Raw genomic sequence first — 14,391 nt, 5'->3', positions numbered from 1 at the left:
CCTGTGAGTGAGGTCCACCTCCATTTGCACAGGAAGCCCCAAATAGACACTCAGAGTCTTATCTTTGAGTGATCTTGGAAGGAAGGCCCAGGGTCATGACTAATTTCCGGGACCCGTCCTCTCCCAGGATTTGGAGAAGCTGCCCTGGGCCGCCTGGGCAGGGCCGGGCGCTTGGCCTGGGAGGCCAGCTGCACCCGAGGTCAGTTCCTGGTGCTTTCTGAGGCCTGTTGAGACCTGGCTCGCCCCAGCCTCCCGGATGTATTGGAAAAAAATAATTATTTGCTTAAAACATGTAAAGTGCTCCTGCGATTTTAATCGGTTTAATTTAAATTTTAAACGACGGATCTTCAGCTTCTAATCACTTTGAAACTGAAGTGCTTTTCACCAAATGTGAAGTGCTTTAGGGTTGGAAATGATTATGTGTAGGACAGTGAAAGGGAGGAGAGAGAGAGGGGAGACAGAGAGAGGAGAGAGAGGAAGAAGATACGGAAAGGAAGGGCCAGAGAGAAGAAGAGCAAGAGTGCAACTCAGAATTAAGCTGGAAAAACGTTCTGTTGGGCTGACCCACTGTTCAGGGCAACATTCAGCCCTTTGGAAGATCTTAGCTGAGAAGAGATGATGATGCCTACAGTCCCATATAATTCAAATCCAAAATTTATTTTTCATATTGACACAAAACTTACATGCATCGTGAGATTTACAACAACTTTTTCTAAGGTTTTCTAATTGCAAAATCCTCTTAAGGCTTCTGAGGCTGAACTTTGTGTGTGTGTGTGTGTGTGTCCTCCGGCCCCTAGGCACATGCCTGGGATCCCATGCAGGTCACCCAGCACTGGCCACAGAGCGGCTTGGACAGCTGGACAGAGGGTGGCTCAAGAGTTAGAGATCTGAGTTAGGTGTGCAGGGCTCCAGGGTTAAGATCCTGCTGGAGGGCGTGGCTCCTGCACAAGGTGTGTATGTGTGTGCATGTGTTTGTGTCTGTGCACACATGTGAGTGTGTGTGTTGCTGGAAACACCTGACTGCAGCTGGCAAGGCTGGGTGTTCTGGAAACAGGAGAGCCCCTCCATGGCCGCAGGGCACCGTGGAACCAGGAAGCTGCAGCCCGCGGAGGCCTCAAGCTCAGACAGGGTCAGGCAGCTGGGGTGGATGGGCCGCCCACAGCTGCTGCCCAGGCTCCCCTGCTGTTTTCTTCTTTGTTTCTGTACAGAAATGCTGGAAGAGCAAGAGAAGCGAGACTGAAGTCTCACAGGCCTGGCTTCCAATTTTACTTCTGCTACTTTCTTCCACGTATCATTTTGGGCTGGTTACTTTGACTTTCCGACTTCCCAAGTGTTGTTTTGCTCTTTTGTAACCAGAAAAGAGGCCCTTTCTTTGTGCTCCATTGGCTTTTCCGGCTGGGTTTTCCCAGCCTCGCCCCCGGGCCCTGCAGTGTCCCTGTGCTTGCTTCTAAAATCTCACCCTCCAGAGACTTATAGTTCCCTGGCCTGGCGCTTATGTGAGTCCCTGTCATCCTTGGAGCTCCTCCGTGGCAGGCCTGGGCCAATTGGTCTTTGCATCCCCAGCACCCACCACAGGGCCAAGAGCTGAGTGCAGCTCAGATTGGAGGCTTCCGGAAGGTTGGAATGAGATGCAGGGGAAAGACCATGTGGTTTGGACCAGATAGATCAGGGTTTGATTCTAGGCTCTGCCATTTACAACCCTTAACATGCATTTACCAGTCTGAGCCTTAATTTCCTCTACTGTAAGAATGGACTCAGCCTCATACGATCCCCAACATAACTTCCAGGTAGGTTAAGTATGTAAATGTGAGAAGAGAAACTTCAACACATTTAGAAAACGGAATATCTTCATGACTTTGGGGTAGAGAAGAACTTTCAATTTTCCTCCCCCGCTCCACCCCAAAAACCCCAAAGAAGCATATTGATACGTTTGACCGTATTAAATTTAAAATTTTCTGTTCAATAAAAGGTACTCTAAAAGAAATGAAAAGGGAGGCTACAAACGAGGAGAATACATTTACCATACACATAACAAATAAAAGATTTGTATCCAGAGCATAGGAAGAATTCTACAAAATCAAGGTAAGAATAGAAAAGCAAACGCATGGAAAAATGGACAAAATATCTGAATGGACAGTTCATAGACCAGGAACCACATGAAGTTCCAAACAGTTGAAGAGATTCCCAATCTTTTTAGTAATTAGGAGAATGTACACTGAAACCCTGTAATACTAGATTAGCAAAAATATGTGACAGAGAAAGAAAATGAATGGGAGACAGAAAGTGGCTGAACCTGACTGTTGTGGGGGCTGTCCTCCCTGGTGAATTACCTGCACCCCAAGCAGCCCATGACAGCCTCCCCAGGGCAGTGTCTGTCTGCAGACTCCAAGAGAGGACAGACCCCAGACTCTCCAGCAGCCACTCCTCCTACCACGTTCTTTAGGTTTAATTTGCTATTTCCTTTTCCAGATTCTTGAGATGGAAGTTTGCATCATGGCCTTCCAACTTTACTTCTTTTCTAATGTATACATTTAAGTCTATATCAATTTCCCACTAAACATGGCTTTTGTGCATCCCATGAATTATCAAATCATGTAGTTTCACTATCATTTAGTTAAAATATTTTCTAATTTCCATTGTATTTGTTTGTTTGACCCAGTGTATTTCTTAGCAGTGTATTTCTTAATTCCCCCAAATTCTTAATTTTCAAAAATATTCTTCTTACTTTGTTATTGATACATAGCTGAATTCCATTCTGATCAGAGAACATGCTGTGTCTGATTTTAATCCTTTCAAATATGTTGAAACTTGCTTTATGTCTCAGCATATGGTCAATTTTGGTGAATGTTTAAGTGTACCTGAAAAGAAGGTATACTCTGCAATTATTCGGTGCGGTGTTCTATAAATGTCATTGAGATCAAGTTGGTTAATTATGTTAGTCAAAACTTCCATATCCTTGATAACGCTTTTGGTCTGTTTGTTCTATCAATTAGAAAAATATGTGTTAAAATTTGCCACTGTGGTGATGGTTTTGTCTATTTCTGCTTTTAGTTCTGTTAGTTTTTGCTTTATATATTTTGAGGCTATGTTATTAGGTGCATGTACATTTAGAATTATTTTCTCTTTCTGGAAAATTAGACTTTGTATTTTAGAAAATATCTGTCCTTATATCTAGTCACATTTTATTCCTTGAAGTCTACATTGTCTTATATTAATGTAGTTATACCAGCTTCTCTTGGTTAGTGTTTATATTAAGATAGCTTTTCATCCTTTTACTTCTAATCTTTCTGTATCCTTATATTTGAAATGTGTATCACGTGAGCAGCATACAATTGGTTTGCTTTTCTTAAATCTTATCTGACAGTCTTTGTGCATTTGCACTTAATGTAATGACCAATATAGTCTATTGTGTCCAACCTATGTTTTTTTTTCCTCCTTTCTTGCCTTCTTTTGGATTCACTCTTTTTTAAATTATTCTTTTTTTCTCTTCTCTTAACTTAGTATTTATATGTTCTTTTGTTATTCTTTCAATGATTATCCTAGAACTCTGGTTCTCAAACTATTTGGTCTCTGAACATCTTTATATTCTGAAAAATTGTTAGAAAGATAAAATGATTTTTATTTTTCTGGATTACCTTATCAATATATTATTGTAATAGAAGTTAAAACCAAGAAAAATTTAAAATATTTATTAATTCAATTTAAAGTAATAATAAATACTAGTTATTAGACATTACTTATTTTTGTGAAAAATAACTACCTTTTCTAAAACAAAAAATACTGAGAAGATGACATTATTTTCCATTTTTTTCTGTTTCTTTAATGAATAGCTTAGTAGAAGACAGCTATATCCTCATACCTGCTTCTGCATTAAATTTGTTGTGATACGCTGTTTTGGTTGAAATACACAAATAAAATGTGGCCTCATTCAGATACGTAGATGAAAAAAAGGGGACTATTCAATGGCTTTTTTGGAGTAATGTGGGTATCTTCTTAGGTCCTATACAAAACATTCACAAGTGGTAATTTCTTAAAGGTTAGTAGCAAAGTGGAATCTAAAGCCAGATCCGTGAACTTCTCATAAAAATCTTTTGGTCTCCCTTGCAATTTGAATAGGTTTTCACTCATGTTTAATTTTGTATCACTGTGCACTGGTCATTTGGAAAATATTGCTTCATTGAGTTATTCAGGTCTTCCAAATGTTGACACGTTTGATTATATAATACTTGAAAATTACATTTGTTTATGTTGTCATTGATTTTACCACAGAAGTATTGGGAATCTATCAAGCTCAGAATGGCCAAGACAAGTTTTATAAAATTCTAATTATTATTTGAAAGCTTAAATTATATATCATTGATAACATACACTGTACATTATTTTCCTGAAAGTGACATGTTTACTGTGTTAAATTTTGAGAAGATGTCTGTCAAATATTCAATTTGGAATAACCACAGTTTCCCTGTCAGTTATTCTTGTAAGTAAAAATGGTCTTGGATGAAAAAGTGGCAGTGCACCTTGCAACTTAATTACACAAGTGCTTTCCTTGAGATCACCATTTTATTTCAGGATAAAGCAGCTGTGCTTCATGCCTATGTTCCATTTCATCACATAGCATATTTTAAAACATGTAGTCCAAGTTTGTAATTTAATAAAAATTAATACTTTTTCACTGTTCCAGCAAGAGTAGTAAATTGCCCTTTCTTTTTTTTTTTCTGCAATTACATGGCAGTGAAGACTACAATGACTAGTAGTACAATTTCTTACCACCGTCATGCTTTCTACAAGCTACAAGCAGTTTTATCCACTGTGGTTTTTTTTTTTTTTTTTTTTTTTGAGACGGAGTCTCGCTCTGTTGCCCAGGCTAGAGTGCAGTGGTGCGATCTCGGCTTACTGCAACCTCTGCCTCCTGGGTTCACGCCATTCTCCTGCCTCAGCGTCCCAAGTAGCTGGGACTACAGGCGCCCGCCACCACACCCGGCTAATTTTTTGTATTTTTAGCAGAGATGGGGTTTCACTGTGTTAGCCAGGATGGTCTCGATCTCCTGACCTTGTGATCCACCTGCCTCGGCCTCCCAAAGTGCTGGGATTACAGGCGTGAGCCACCGCACCTGGCCCCACTGTGGTTTTTGCACCATCAGTGCAAATATGAACAAACTTAAAAGAGGTAAATAAGCCTTAGCATTATGAAAATAGTTTTGCCCTTGGGGACTCCCAGGGGTCTATGAGCCACATTCTGAAAACTGCTGCCCCAGAGATGATAACAGGCATCTTTGATTTTTTTTTTAACAGTACTTTCCCCACTTCTTAGACAATGCAAAAGTCTTAGAGTACTTTAACTTCATTTACTTCCTTTTCTGATTATATGTTATAGTTTTTATGCATTTTATTTCCCTGTATTATTCATATCCCACGTCTTTTTTAAATATATTAAGGCTCATTTACATATACCTATACATTTACCTTTCTGTCATTTTTCACGTCTAAATATTGCTTCTGCCTTACTCTCCTGTTTTTCTGGGACTCCAATTTTATGTATCTTATATACTTCTTACATTTTCTCTTCTGTTTTTCCTATCTTCATGTCTCTCCATGAATCATTCTAGACCTTTTCTTCTAGCACATCTTTTAGCTTACTGATTATCTCTTCAGCTATATCTTATTTGTTATTAAACCTATTTACTGAATTTTTAAATTCAGCTCTTCTAGTTTTCAGTCCTAGACTTTATATTTGAATCATCTCTACAGTTTCTGCTTCTCTATGTAATTGTCAATCTTTTATTTCCTTGAACATTTGAAGCTAGCTATTTCTGAAGTCTGGATGTGATACCTCCTTTGTCTGGAAGACTTATGGAAAGTTCCCATATATTTTCTCTTTGTTGTCAGCTATGTTATTTTGCCTTCTTGTGTGTGTGGTTTTGACTGAATATTGGAAAAATTGTAGATTTAAATTTAGAACTAGGATGATCATATTATATCCCTCTCTAGGGAAGTCTAGTGTTTGGTTGTGGCAGGGTGTGCAGGCAATGCTTGATCTCCTTAAGCCAATTAGGGATGGCGATGTTTCAAATAGGACTTTAATCCCTTTGAGGTACAGCGTATTTCTAGTTTGCCTTTACTTCTAGAGTATATACCTTTAGGTTATTTAAAAACCAAAACTCAATCAGTCTCCCTGTGAAAAGCCGAAACAAAGAAAAGGAGAAAAAAGGGTCATAGAAAAAGTGGACACCACTTCTGGTGTTGGTGGTTCAGTAAGTCCACCAACTGATGGTCCCTGAACTTTAATTTTATATTTAAATTTATAACACTTGTAGTGTTGTAATTTTTTTCAAAATCTCAAGCTGGGTTTGTCTCACTGAGTTTTCTTCTTTTCCTGGATTTTGGCCCTGTAATTCTTCACTGTCTTGATAACTCTCCAATGCCTTCAGGCATTTAATTTTTATTTTTAAATTAAAATATTATTCAGATTTTCTAGGTTTTAAAGTGGGGAAGTTGGTCCCAATTACCTAGTCTGGCATTGGAAGAAATGTGGCCATCTGGTGCAGCTACTTTTGATTTGGCCTTATCTGGGAAAATTGAAGATATTTGTGTTCCATAAACTAGAAATTCCACACCCCAAATATTTACCTTAGAGAGAAACTTTTGCAAATGTAAACAAGGAGTTATAAATAAGAACATTTATAGCAGTAGTTTCTAAAATAGCAATGCCAATCAATAGGAGAATGGATAAATCAATTGTGGCATTATTATTTATGTGGCATTATTTTTTATTCTCATAAAAATAATACAGCAGTGAAAATTGGTGAACTAAAGTTACATGTATCAAAATGGACAAATCTTTTGAACGTAATTTTGAGTAAAAATGTGGTGTACAAAAAAAAGCATGTGTGTGTGTGTGTGTGTGTGTAGTAATATTTACATTTGTAGCAATATGGGTCTGCCTAGTTATAATAGACACTGAACTGAATACAGTTTTATTTTCTTCCCCCCAGGTAGAAGGGGATGGGTTTGTGATCAGGAAGCGGCAGATAGATGATTCAATTTTGCTGATAATATTTTACTTCTTAAACCAGATAGTGAATATAACTGTGTGTTTCTTGTAATTTTAAAAATATTCTGGATTATCTTGTCTTGGATTGGTTAATTTAGTTCACTTACATTTATTTACTTATTGATTTATTTCTTATTGTTTCTATTACCTTAGTTTGTTATTTTTCTTTTTCCGCTTTTTAAATATCCTCTTTTATTCTTTATTGCCTGGGTGGAAGTATTGATTAAAGGTTATTTTTAAAAATTATTCATTTGCTTATTTTTATTCCATTTTTATTCTCCCTCTACTGCTTTGAAATTTACCCTTTTGTTTTCCTGATTGTCCTGGACACATTATCATGCATATTTAATTTAATGACATACTAAACAATATTTTAAACCCCTTTGATTATAAAAGGACGTTAGAATATCCCAAATCAAGTTACCATCCTTCCAACCTACAAGTTACTGTTGTGTAATATTTTAATTCTATGATTTTTCTGTGGCTTTATAAATTAGACTTTGTTATTATCTTATACACACATTGTTTTGTTAATGTTCCTGCATGTTTATCAGCTTATTTGCTCACCATTTCTTCTTGCTTCTCACAAGGACCTTTTTGTGATAATTCTCTTTCCTTCCTTAGGGGAGGTGTGGTGGTTTACTCCCAACCACATGTATCTGAATATTTTTGTTTTACTTTTGCTCTTATTGGGTACACAGTTTTGTGAAGTACACAATTCTGGGTTGGCATCTCCACACTTTGAAGGCACCATCACATTTCTTCTGGCTGTCATTATGGAGGTGAAAAGCTTATTTTCAGTCTTCTGATTATTCCATTCAAGATTGTCTCTACTTTTTGTCTGGCTGCTTTAAAAAAAATCTTATTTTTGCCTGTGGTGTTTTAAAGATTCACTATAGGCATCTGAGAGGACCTGAAACATTTACTCTTACTTGGAGTGTATTATGTGATTTCTGAATCTTGGATATATGTCTTCTCTTTGTTCTAGAAATTTTTCAGCTAATATCTCTTGAAATATTACCTCTATTCTTATATATCTGCACTCTCCTTCTAGGACTCTGACTAGAGATATGTTAGAGCTTCTTATTCTATTCTCTGTATCTCTTTCATTACCTTTATATTTTCTATTTCCTTATCTCTTGATACTGTATTTTGGGTAATTTGATCAGACTCTTATCCTGGGGTTCACATATTTTATTATTAGTTGTGTGTAATCAACTTGTCAAGCATCCATTGAATTTTTAAAAAATCAATTAAAAATTTTCAGTTTTAGAAGTTCCATTTGGTTATTTTTCAAACCTATTTGGTCATTCCTGATGGTCTCTTGTTTACTTTTTATCTTTGTGATTCCAATGTTACTTTCTTTATGCATTTCTTACATTCTTATTACATTTCATACATTGATATAATATGTATTGGATTATTTAATATCTGCAACCCTGAGGTGTTTAAATCTATTATTTGTTACATTTGTTGACTGCCATTTACAGATACTTGCCATCTTCTCTTTCTGTGACTTTTCATTGTGAGCTTACTGCTCATTTTTTAATCTTATTTTCAGATTTTTTACTCCTGAGGGCCCAAATGAGGGATGCTTTCCTCCAGAGATTTCTGTCTAGTTCTGCTGTGAATCAGGTGCACCGAAGACTTGAAGACATATCCATCACCTTTGAGCATCTCATATCTGCAAGGACTGCCAAGCTCAACTCCTCCACCTTGCTCTTTGTCCTAGGCTCAGGAGCCTAATTGCAATGGTAATTGGTGCTCATCCTCAAGGCCAGCAAACCTCTTCATTTGATACACTGCCAGCTTATCCCAACTGTATTAGTCTGTTCTCATGCTGCTAATAGAGACATACCTGAGACTGGGTAATTTATAAAGAAAAGAGGTTTAATAAACTCACAGTTCCACATGGTTGGGAAGGCCTCACAATCATGGCAGAAGGTGAAGGAAGAGGAAAGGCACATCTTACATGGCAGTGGCCAAGATAAGTGTCAAGCAAAAGGGGAAAACCCCTTGTTATAAAACCATCAGATCTCATGAGAACTCACTCACTACCACAAGAACAGCAGTATGGGGGTAACTGCCCCCATGATTCAATTATCTCCCACTGGTCCCTCCACTACACTTGGGGATTATGGGAACTACAATTCAAGATGAGATTTGGGTGGGGACACAGCCAAACTATATCACCAACTTTAGATTTAGCTCACATTTTGAGGAAGACTGGCAGGTTTGAAGAATTCCACGTACCTTGAAAGCCCATTGATGTGTCAAAAAGCCCATGTTATTGAGGACAGTCTTGTTTTGATTTATGACAGTGCCTTTGCACACTTGATCTGCTGTTCTCCAGCAGTGGAAGTTATTGTATTATTCTGTATTAACCTTTTTACTTCTTTAGCTCTCATAAATACTGCATGATAAAGGTGACCGTATTTTCTACTTTGAAGAACTATTATAAGCGTTAGGATGCCTAGAAAGCTGCTAGCACTTAGTAGACGCTAAATAAACAGTAGCTAACAACAACACTAAAGATGATTCAATATTTACTAAACCTAATTGAACATATACTGATGGTTATAGGTGGATAAACCTTGGACATATATGATATCACTTAACCTTACAACACTATAAGGTTGGTCATGTTGTCTTTCTTTTACAAATTAGGAAACTGAGGCTCAGTGAGTGTACCGAGCAGCATTACTTTATTAAATGATATGAACTATACAGTAGTGTCTAATGGGACATTTGGCTCATCCATTTATTCATTCATTCTTTCAGAAAGTACTTATTGAGTGCCTTTGACCCTGGGACTGTGGTGATATGTAATAGATGTTTGCCTTATCAAGGTCCTGGAAAAAAGCTTCTTTGACAATTCTCCCACCCCCTACACTGTCCCTGGGCCTCACAGTTTTCTCAGAATGGTGAGATCTGTGCATCTCACTTTCCCCTGGGACTTGGAACCTCCAAGCAAATGGTCCCTAGTAATAACCATTCTTCTATAAATTAATGGGAGCTTGAGGGCCCTGAGTTATAAGCACTGCGATGCAACTTTGTTTTAGGACAGTTGTTTGAATTAAGGTGCAGATGTGATGTGTGACTTGCAATGTGTCATTTATATTTAATGTAGGCATACCTCATTCTTTTGCACTTTGCTTTATTGCCCTTCACAGTTTTCATTGTTTTTCTTCAGACTGAAGGTTTAAGGCAACTCCTATTGAACAAGTCTATTGGCACCATTTTTCCAACAGCATGTGCTTACTTTGTGTTTCTGTGTCACGTTTTAGTAATTCTCACAATATTTCACACTTTTTCATTATTATTATATTTGTAATGGTGATCTGTGATCAGTGATTTTTGATGTTCCTCTGGTAACTGTTTTGGGGCACCATGAAGTGTGTCCAGATGAGATCGTGATCTTAACTGATTAATTGGAGCATACATGAATGTACGCTCTGGCTGCTCCATTGACCAGCCATTCCTCCATCTATCTCTTTCTCTTTCAGGCCTCTATACTCCCTGAGACACAACAACATTGAAATTAGGCCAATTAATACCCCATACAATGGCCTCTACGTGTTCAAGTGAGAGGAAGGATCACATGTCTATCGTTTTAAATCAAAAGCTAGAAATGATTAAGCTTAGTGAGGAAGGGGTGTCTAAAGCTGAGATAGGTTGAAAGCTAGGCCTCTTGCACTAATTAGCCAAGTTGTAAATGTAAAGGAAAAATTCTTGAAAGAAATTAAAAGCGCTGTTCCCATGTACTCATGAATAAGAAGAAAGTGAAACAGCCTTATTCCTGATATGGAGACAGTATTAGTGATTTGAATAGATAAAACCAGCCACAGCGTTCCTCTAAGTCAAAGCATGATCCAGAGCAAAGCCCTAACTTTCTTCAATTCTATGAAGGCTGAGAGAAGTGAGGAGGCCATAGAAGAACAACTGAAGCTAGTGGAGGTTATTTCATGAGGTTTAAAGAAAGAAGCTGCCTCCATAACATAAAAGTGCAAAGTGAAGAAGCAAGTGTTGATGTCAAAGCTGCAGCAAGTTACCCAGAAGATAATTTAGGTGGATACTTGATGAAGGTGGGAACACTAACAACAGATTTTCAATGTAGGTGAAGCAGTTGTGTATTAGATAAGAAGATGCCATCTTGGACTTTCATAGTTAGAGAGGAGAAGTCAATGCCTGGCTTCAAAGCTTTAAAGGACAGGCTGACTCCCTTACTAACTGCTAATGCAGCTGGGTGACTTTAAGTTGAAGCCAATGCTGGTTTACCATTCTGAAAAGCCTAGGGCCTTAAAAATGGTGATAAATCTATGCTGCCTGTGCTCTATAAACGGGACAACAAAGCCTGGATGATAGCATGTCACTTACAGCATGGTTTAACAAATATTTTAAGCCTGCTGTTGAGACCTGCTGTTCAGAAAAAAAGATTCCTTTCAAAAGTGACTGCTCATTGACAATGCACCTGGTCACCCAAGAGCTCTGATGGAGATGTACATGGAGATGAATGTTGCTTTCATGCCTGCTAACACAGCATCCGTCCTGCAGCCCATGGATCAAGGAGTAATTTCAACTTTCAGGTCTTATTATTTAAGAAGTACATTTCATAGGGCTAAAGCTACCATAGGGCTAAAGCTACCATAAAGCTACCACTACCATAGATAGTGATTCCTTTGATGGATCTGGGCAAAGCAATTGAAAACCTTCTGGAAAGGATTCACCATGCAGAACACGCATGACTCATGGGAGGAGGTCATCGACATTAACTGGAATTTGGAACAAAAGTTGACTCCAACCCTTATGGATTACTTTGAGCGTTTCAAGACTTTGGTGGAGGAAATAACTGCAGATGTGGTGAAAGTAGCAGAGAACTAGAATTAGAAGTGGAGCCTGAATTGCTGCAATCTCATGATCAAACTTGAACGGATGAGGAGTTGCTTCTTATGGATGAGCAAAGAAAATTTCTTGAGAAGGAATCTACTCCTGGTGAAGATGTTGTGAACATTGTTGAAATGACAACAAAGGATTTAGAATATTCCATAAGTGTAGTTGATAAAGTGGCAGAGTTGACTCCAATTTTGAAAGAAGTTCTGTGGTAGGTAAAATGCTATCAAACAGCTTGCATGCTGGAGAGAAATCTTTCTGGAAAGGAAGAGTCCATTGATGGGGAAAACCTCATCATTGTCTTATTTTAAGAAATTGCCACAGCCACCCCCAATCTTCAACAACCACTACCTTGATGAGTTAGCTGCCATCAGCACCGAGGAAAGACCCTCCAACAGCAGAAAGATTAGGACTTGTTGAAGGCTCAGATGATTGGTAGCATTTTTTAGCAATAAAGTATTTTTAAATTAAGGTATGTACATTGTTTTTCAGACAGACTACTACTGCACACTTAATAGACTAGAGTTGATATGGTTTGGCTGTGTCCCCACCCAAATCTCATCTTGAATTATAATTCCGATAATTCCCATGTATTGGGGGAGGGACCTGGTGGGAGATAATTGAATCATGGGGGTGATTTCCCCCATACGTTCTCATGGTAGTAAATAAATCTCAGGAGATCTGATAGTTTTATAAGGGGAAACCCCTTTTGCTTGGTTCTCATTCTCTCTTGTCTGCCACCGTGTAAGCCATGACTTTCGCCTTCTGCCATAATTGTGAGGCCTCCCCAGCCACATGGAACTGTGAGTCCATTAAACCTGTTTTTGTTTTAAAAAAATAAATTACCCAGTCTCGGGTATGTCTTTATCAGCAGTGTGAAAATGGACTAAAAATACAGTATGGTGTAAACATAACTTTTATACACACTGGGAAACCAAAAAATATGGTGACTCACTTTATTCTGATATTCACTTTATTGTGGTGGTCTGGAACTATGAGTGCAGTATCTCCAAGGTACGCCTGCAATTAGTAATGCCATTAGAAGGGACTGATGAGCTCATGGGTATTCACAGCCTCTCCTATAAATAGCTGGTGCTCTTGGTGAGAGCAGGGTTAGCACCATTGGGTCCCCTTGTTCTCTCCAGAGTTGTCTGGATGACAGGAAGTGCAGTGCATTCTGGCTCCTACTGGGCACCTACTGGAATTTTCTATTACTTCTCATCACACCCAACTCTTCTAGAGGCCTTCAGTCTGCTGTGACAATACCCCCACCCCCTGCACTGTCCCTGGGTCCCGCAGTTTTCTCAGGATGGTGCAATCTGTGCATCTCACTCTCCCCTGGGGGTCGGACTCTTCCTTCAGCTCCCCCAGGTCTGGGGAATAGGCTTGGTTATGTTCTGCTTACAGATGATAGTAAGTCTGCCACTGGGGTGAGATTCATAAGCTTAGAGGGCAGCAACCTGCCTGGGCTGCACCTTAGGAATGGTGAGCCTGGTCTTTATGCAGGATTAAACCTTTTCTATGCATTTGTAGATGGGGATGTGTGATGGTGAGAGGGAAGAGGATGGGATGAGAATGAGAGCAAGCCTTATATTTTATTTTCTCTCTATCAAGCATTCATTTGTTGAGCATCAGTTTGCACAGCTATTGAGTATCAGGGGATTCAAACCCATGTCTGTCTAGACTCTGCAGCCCCGCTCCTGCTACCCGAAATAATGCCCACCTCCCAGGGTAGCTATAAAGCTTTTGAGACACCGTCTGCAGCGTGGCCCCAAAATGCCTGGAGTGTAAGAACTCAGTGTGCAGTAACTTCTTTCTTTCCCTTTCTCTGAGCAAAAAAGAAATCTTAAAAGAAAGTGAAAATCTGTTGCCTTGGAGAAGTTTGAGAAGGAACCAGAAAGTGTGTGGGAAGGAATTCGCTCAGCCTGGGCTGCCATGCCGGTTCTGGTGGGTTCCACCTCCGAGCGTCCCCTGGCTGATGGGGGCATTTAACCACCTCCTCCAGGTTTTGTTTCCCCCACTTCACCCACATGGAACAGCAGTTCTCACAGGCAGACGGGCTGGTGAGTTAGCATCTTTCCATGATGAACTGTGCTGCACCAAGCCTTATCTTTCATTTATGATGATTATGCTTATAATGAAGGACTGCAAATCTGACAGACTGAAGATCATCTTGGAGGCTGTACTTTTCATAGTTCTTGCAGTTTGGATTGATTTGGGGGAGAGAAAAAGGGAGAGAGGCTCTTTGTAAAGAAAACATGATTTTTATGTGAATAGTCATTACAGACCAGGATTATATTATATTCATCTTCCCATGCAGAAACGACACCAGCAAACATCCTTCCTTTATTTCCCTGGGTAAAAGAAGGCCTCATGGTTTAATAAGCCAAAGGGAACACATGCAATGAATGAAGTGGCAAAGTAATGGCCTCCCCATCCTTCCTCCTGCT

At 39.0% G+C, this 14,391-nt stretch overlaps 1 annotated feature.

Annotated features, from left to right (window-relative positions):
* Positions 707 to 1,706: an enhancer, noted in NCBI's record as "H3K4me1 hESC enhancer chr14:99559873-99560872 (GRCh37/hg19 assembly coordinates)". NCBI's record gives its function as "activates a minimal SCP1, AML or CMV promoter by ChIP-STARR-seq in naive and primed H9 embryonic stem cells {active_cell/tissue: H9 hESC(naive and primed)}" and the evidence as "EXISTENCE:reporter gene assay evidence [ECO:0000049][PMID:30033119]".

The sequence above is a fragment of the Homo sapiens genome, chromosome 14 (assembly GCF_000001405.40).
Source record: "Homo sapiens chromosome 14, GRCh38.p14 Primary Assembly".
Lineage (NCBI taxonomy): Eukaryota > Metazoa > Chordata > Mammalia > Primates > Hominidae > Homo > Homo sapiens.
The sequence above is the reverse complement of the archived record's forward strand: the minus strand, read 5'-3'. Positions and strand labels throughout refer to the sequence as shown.